At 32.7% G+C, this 6510-nt stretch overlaps 1 long non-coding RNA gene across 1 annotated transcript in view; it reads right to left on the bottom strand.

The window, feature by feature from the left end:
- Positions 1-432: 432 nt before the first annotated feature.
- Positions 433-6510, bottom strand: part of LOC105378883 (uncharacterized) — a 29116-nt gene continuing 23038 nt past the window's right edge. The window contains exon 4 of the long non-coding RNA XR_947660.1: positions 433-501. This is a non-coding gene — a long non-coding RNA (uncharacterized LOC105378883). The remainder of the gene's footprint in view (positions 502-6510) is intronic.

Genomic DNA, 6510 nt, shown 5'->3' with positions numbered 1-6510 from the left:
CTAAGATAATCACACACATTTGTGTGCCTGCCATGTTTATATGAATGCTATAAAAGTGAATTTATTTAACCATTACTAATAACTTTTGTTAATATTCGCAATTTATGGTTTAATGATGTTTCTTTCCCACAATTGCTTTCTACAGTGAAAATGTAGTGAGGTAAAATCATTTATTTTCAATGAAATAAATTGACTTTACAGGTTAATGTGCTTTCATTCCAAAGCTAAACGTTATCATTTTAGTCAATTAACTTTTTGTCCTTTATTCGAAGTCCAGAAATGATAAGAAGTTACTTTGTTACATTATCCATTCTGAGAATTTCTCTGAAGTTGTAATTACTGTACTGAGAATTTTAGATTTTTTGCACTTTACCAGTCTTGAAGAGGCAACATGGTATCAATGTAAGTGGAATTTTCCTTAATGGATTTTATCTGGTGGTCAAGACCTTTTTAAAGTAATAGAAGTAAGGTCTTAATGTTCATCTGATACAAATAACTGCACTGAAAGGAAAAAGAGTTCAGATTAATAATCTTCTATAAATGCAGCAAAAGTGTGCTTTTACTGTAAATGAAAACCCAAAGATGGAGTCTGAATTTGCAACTGTAATGAGAATTTAATACATACCCTTCTTCCAGGCAGTTCACATTTTCTGCCTGTTTCAACCAATTCTTAACGCGTTTATTGCCACTAAAATGAATTGTAAGTCACATAAACATATTAATCATTTGAAGTTAGTATTATATTTTACATCTGAAAGATCAGATTTGAAAGCCTACATTGGAACCCATACTCCTGAGTCTGGAATTCACGGATGAAAATCTGTTCTTAAGACTTCTCTAAACTTTTATCCTCTAGTCTCCCGAAAATGACCTCTCCTGTCACTTGGTTCACTGGAAATGCCATAGCTTTTCCTGAACTCCAGTTGTATTTACTATCCTAATCAAACGTTTGGCATACGTTGTATACATCCTTACATTCTTAGGCTACAACAAAAACTATATAGACTTGTCAGTAATCCAAACGTGTTGTTAATGGTAGCAATGGGGAAAATAAACCAAGACGTTAAAAATGCACTGTGCAATAGTCTAGCTGGTGCTTACAACTCTTTGAAAGTCACAAAGGAAGAGGGTCCATCTTGTTTGAAGGGGCTCCATTAGGCAAAGAAGGGCTTATAAAGATGAACATAATATAATATAATATACATAAGAAATTTTATATAACATAATATACCATAATATACATAAGAACATAACATAATATACATAAGAAATTTGCATGCAATTATAAAATATCTTAGGAATTATGAAGAAGGTAGTCGAATTTCAATGGAATGTGTTCCAGAGTTGTTGCAGGAGAATCATGAAATATAACAAATTTAGATGATCCAATGAGGAGAACATCCCAGTTTAAACTGATATATTTTTCATTTTTATCGCAAGAACACCATCCATAATGACAATGGTTATTGAAGCTAGAAGGTCTTAATTCAAACAAAATCATCAGTGTTTACTAAATAAGAGTGTATGGATAGTTACACATGAATATTAAATTGATATCCCCAGTAAAGACTTCAGTCCCGGTTACTTCAATAATTAACATAAATACACAATATACAATGTGCAGGAGGACTATCAGCTATTTTAAGAAGCTGAAATAGAATAGGCTAATGTACAGATATGTTGCTCTTAATTTATTTCTGTCATAATAATATCTAACATACCATTGACTAAATTAAGATGAAAAGTCCATCAATCTTGGAAAATATTTTCATATTAACAACACTGGCTCAGTGTAAATCTGTAAAAGAATATCTTAAATACTAAGATTCTTGGCTTGGAGTAAGCTAAAATGACTTTATTATTAATAAAAATACTAATTAAAATTAAAATTAATCAAGAAAATATACAAGTAAAATAAATTATAAAATATTATGATAAAATATAACAGAATATTTTAAATTATGTTTTATTGTAAATATTCAGAAAATATTTAATAATTATTAACATTTATGCTTTGTTTTATAAGATACATCTCATAAAGTTATAAAGATGAACATAGATACATAAATGATTTTCATGTAATTATAAAATATCTCAGGAATTATGAGGAAGGTGGTTGAGTTTCAAAGGAATGTGGTCCAGAGTTGTCGCAGGAGAATCATGAAATGTGACAAATTTAGATGGCTGAATGAGGAGTGTATCCCAGTTTAAATGAACAGCTTAATCAAATGCAGACAAGCCAAAGTAAACCCATAATATATGATCAAGATATGAGATATTATAAATAATAGTTGGCATAAACCAGAAAAGCACTGATAGAAAGGTTCTTAGCATCTAGAAGTAAATAATGAGGGGCTGTTGTAGGTTTTGAACCCAGATGAATGTCAGGAAATAATATTATAGAAATCTTAGATGGACAAGTAAATGTAAATGAGATTAAAATAGAAGGAGAATCCCAAAGGCAATGAAATATCTACAAGATGGAAATGTTGTGAACTGAAGTAGCAGCAATGATGAGGTAGAAAGTATTGTAAGAATAAAATGATTTTAAGGATGATAGTTGTATAACTATGATAACAATGATAGGTAAATGAGTAAAAACAGGAGTAATTATTTAGTGGCCTAAAAAGTTACAAAGATACCACAAACAAAAACTGAATTTCTCCTTGGAGGTTATTTTGTGGAACAAAATGGTGATCTCCGTTTTAAATACTGAGTTTGAAGTAATTACTGAATATCCAATGAAAATGACATGAAAAGGAAGTGTATTGGTGATTGCAGTGGCTTTTAATGCAGCTTTACAAAAATTGAGAAAGAGCTACGTGAAACTGATTTAGAGTGATTTTCAGTATATACTATTTAGTGAAAAAAATGTAAAGGAATATACATAGTATGCTACCTTGCTTGTAAGAAAGAAATGAAAATTGACATGTGTCTTTTTCTCATTACAAAAAGAAGCACTAGAAGTACAAATAAATAAAGTTAGTACAAAGGATGGGTTGAAGGGAGTGAGTGACAAGGCACTTCTTGAAGTTTATCTTTTTAAACCACTTTGACTTTTAAAAACATATTAATATCATTGTTATAAAAAGAAATTAAATCGGTAAGAATATGAAAGGGGGAAGAAACCCACTTTAAAAGACAACAAATAAATTTAATTATATTTCAGGTGAGTACACTAACCGCACTGCAGGAAGAGAAAGAAAGGGAAAAATGAAAGAAGAAAAAGGAGGGAAGGAAAGATAAAGGAAGAAAAGAAGGAAGGAAGAAAAGAAGGAGGAGAGAGGGAGAAAAAAGGAAAAAAAGGAAAGGAATAGAAAGGAAAAAAGGAAGGTAGGAAGAAAGGAAGGAAGAAAGAAAGACAAAGAAGAAAAGAAGGAAATAAGAAAGAAGAGAAAGAAATAATGAAAAAAAAACTTCTCCTGTTGACTTATTAACACATAGATACTAGTTGATTGTGTACCGAGTCTGGAGCAGGATGGGCTGTGAGGATTAAGGAATAAAGTGCAAAACACTCTGATGTAGTTTTAGTAGATATGTAGTGGTAAGTGAAGTTTAAGTTCTGAAATTAATTTCCATGAAATATAGAATTAATTGAATCAAACGTGCTGATGATTGTTGGTGGGATTCTCCATTCTCAGTGTGGAAAATAAACAAATGGGGAAAACAATAAAAGAGCACATGATAATGGATTAGAACTGGAAGTACCTTTGCAAACTTATGATTCTTAAAATATGTAAATGTACATATACATATATTTATAAGCATATGCATATATTATATGTGAGTGTATTGTGAACCCCAAAAATCTAAGACATGTCTCAGTTAATTTAGAGTTGATTTTGCCAGCATTGAGGATGCGTGCCCGTGACACAGTCTCAAGGCGTTCTGACGACATGTGCCCAAGGTGGTCAGAGCATAGTTTGCTTTCGTACATTCTAGGGAGACATGAGACATTAATCAACATACGCAAGATGAACATTGGTTCAGTCTGGAAAGACAGGACAACTCGAAGCAAAAGCGGGAAGACTCAAAGTGGGGCGGGGGCTTCCAACTCATAGGTTAATAAGAGACAAATGTTTGCATTCTTTTGAATTACTGGTTAGCCTGTCCAAAGGAGGAAATCAGATATGCATTTATTTCAGTGAGCAGAGGGGTGACTTTGAATAGAATGGGAGGCAGTTTGTCCCTAAGCAGTTTCTAGCTTGGCTTTTTCTTTTAGCTTCTTTTAGCTTAGTGATTTGGGGACCCCCAGATTTATTTTTCTTTCACAGTATGCCTGTATATGTACATGTCTGTTTATATTTGCAAGTGTGGATATGTATATGTGTACGAGTGCATTAATTTCCTAATCCTTTTCAAAGAAACGGCAACAAAGCAAACATACCCCACTGGACATGAGAACACTTAGTACTCAGATCTTGATCTCTATCAAAAGAGATTCTTGAACACATGGATGATTACAGGTCTGTGGCAGGTTAGGTATGAGATAAATCTAGAACATCATTTATGCAAGAAAGTAAGAATGGAGGCAAGTCACAAGGAAACAGGAGCTACCTTGCTTGAAGAGGATTCACTATGCAAATAGGGGCCATTTGAGGACCCAGATAATTAAATTAATTATAAAACATTGAAAATAAGAATTCATGTAATTACCTCAATTTAATTATTTACATATTTATTAATGTTATATATATTAAAATATATGTAAATATATTGCCAATTTTTATATTACACACACATACCCACACAAACACATATCAGAACTGAGGGCTTTTTTGCACAGTAAGATATCAGAGTTGTAAACGTGGAGGGAATGCTGAAATTGAAAAATGTATCTTTTTTTTTCTTTTTCTTTTTTCTTTTTCTTTTTTTTTTTTTTTTTGAGATGCAGTTTCGCTCTTGTCACCCAAACTGGAGTGCAATGTTGTGATCTCAGCTCACTGCAACTTCCACCTCCTGGGTTCAAGTGATTCTCCTGCCTCAGCTTCCCAAGTAGCTGGGATTACAGGAGTGCACCAACAAACCAGACTAATTTTTATATTTACTTTAGTAGAGTTGGGTTTTCACCATGTTGGCCAGGCTGGTCTCAAACTCCCGACCTCAGATGATCCACCTGCCTTGGCCTTTCAAAGTGCTGGGATAACAGGCATGAGCTATCGTGCCCGGCCAAGAAATCTATCATTTTATAACAAACACAGTAAAGACTGGATGATAAATTAAGAGGCAGGTTTGAATAAAGAGGAGGATATTCCAGTGTCCCAACAGACTGCTTTTTAGTTGGAAGGAAAAAAACCATCAAAACAAAATCGTAATTAAAAACTGAAAAATAATTCAATAGTCTGACTGGCATCAACTGTGAGTGGCAGATGGATATGATTTTCTTCTAGATGTTATATCCTGAGAAGACACAATCATCTATGTAGTATTTTGATCAGTAATGCATAGCCTCAACCTAATCATGAGGAAACATCTGAAAAGCAGAAATTGAGAAATACTCTATTTGAGAAATAAATGTTAGCATACTGTTTTCAGAAAAAATGTCAATGTCAAAATGACAAAAATTGGCCATGAAAGTGTTCCAAATTAAAAAGACTAAAAGACATGAGGAAGAATTGCAATACCTGACCCTAAATTAGATCCTGTACTAAAGGGGTAGAAATGCTATAAAAAAATCATGAAATCAGTCAACAAATTTGGATTATGAGTAGCAACTTATATGAGTAATTATATAAATATTGTTATAACTTTTCTAAATGGACTGTGGTTATATGAGAGAATATCCAAATTGTTAGGAAATGCACATAGAAATATTTATAGGTAAAGCACCATGATATATGCAACTAACCATCAGATATTTCAAACATTATGCAGATACAAGTCTATTTACAGTGAGTGTGAGAGAGTGTGTACAAGCAAATAAGTGATAGAGAAAATGGGGCAAAATATTAACAATGGCTGAGTGTGAATAAAAGATATAATGATATTTCTTAAAATATTTGTATTTGTACAACTTTTTATGTTTGAAGTTATTTTTAAATAAAATTTACAAATGTCCAACTTAGTTTCGAAATGAAAAACTTTTTAAGCACTCAAGATTAAGAATTTGGGGGGTTGAAGAAATATGGAAGAAATACATAAGTAAACTCTTTGTAAAGGCATATATATGTAGGTTGTGATGGTTAATTTTGTATGAGAATTTGACTGGGCCATGGAGTACCCAGATATTTGGTCAAACATTATGTTCTTTGTTTTTGTGAGGGTGCTTTTGGATGAATTTAACCTTTGCATTGATAGCCTGGATAAAGCAGATTGCTCCCCCTAATATGAGTACGTCTCATTCACACTGTGGAAGGCATCAGTGGAACAAAATACTGACCATCCCCAGAATAAGAGGGAATTCCTCCTGCTTGACTGCTTTTCAGTTGGGACAGGCATTTGTTTCTGGACTCAAATTCAAACATTACCCCTTCCTGGGTCTTGAGACTGACAGCTTTTGGAATGGAACTA

This window comes from Homo sapiens, chromosome 1, assembly GCF_000001405.40.
Source record: "Homo sapiens chromosome 1, GRCh38.p14 Primary Assembly".
In the NCBI taxonomy this organism is placed as follows: Eukaryota; Metazoa; Chordata; class Mammalia; order Primates; family Hominidae; genus Homo; species Homo sapiens.
The sequence above is the reverse complement of the archived record's forward strand: the minus strand, read 5'-3'. Positions and strand labels throughout refer to the sequence as shown.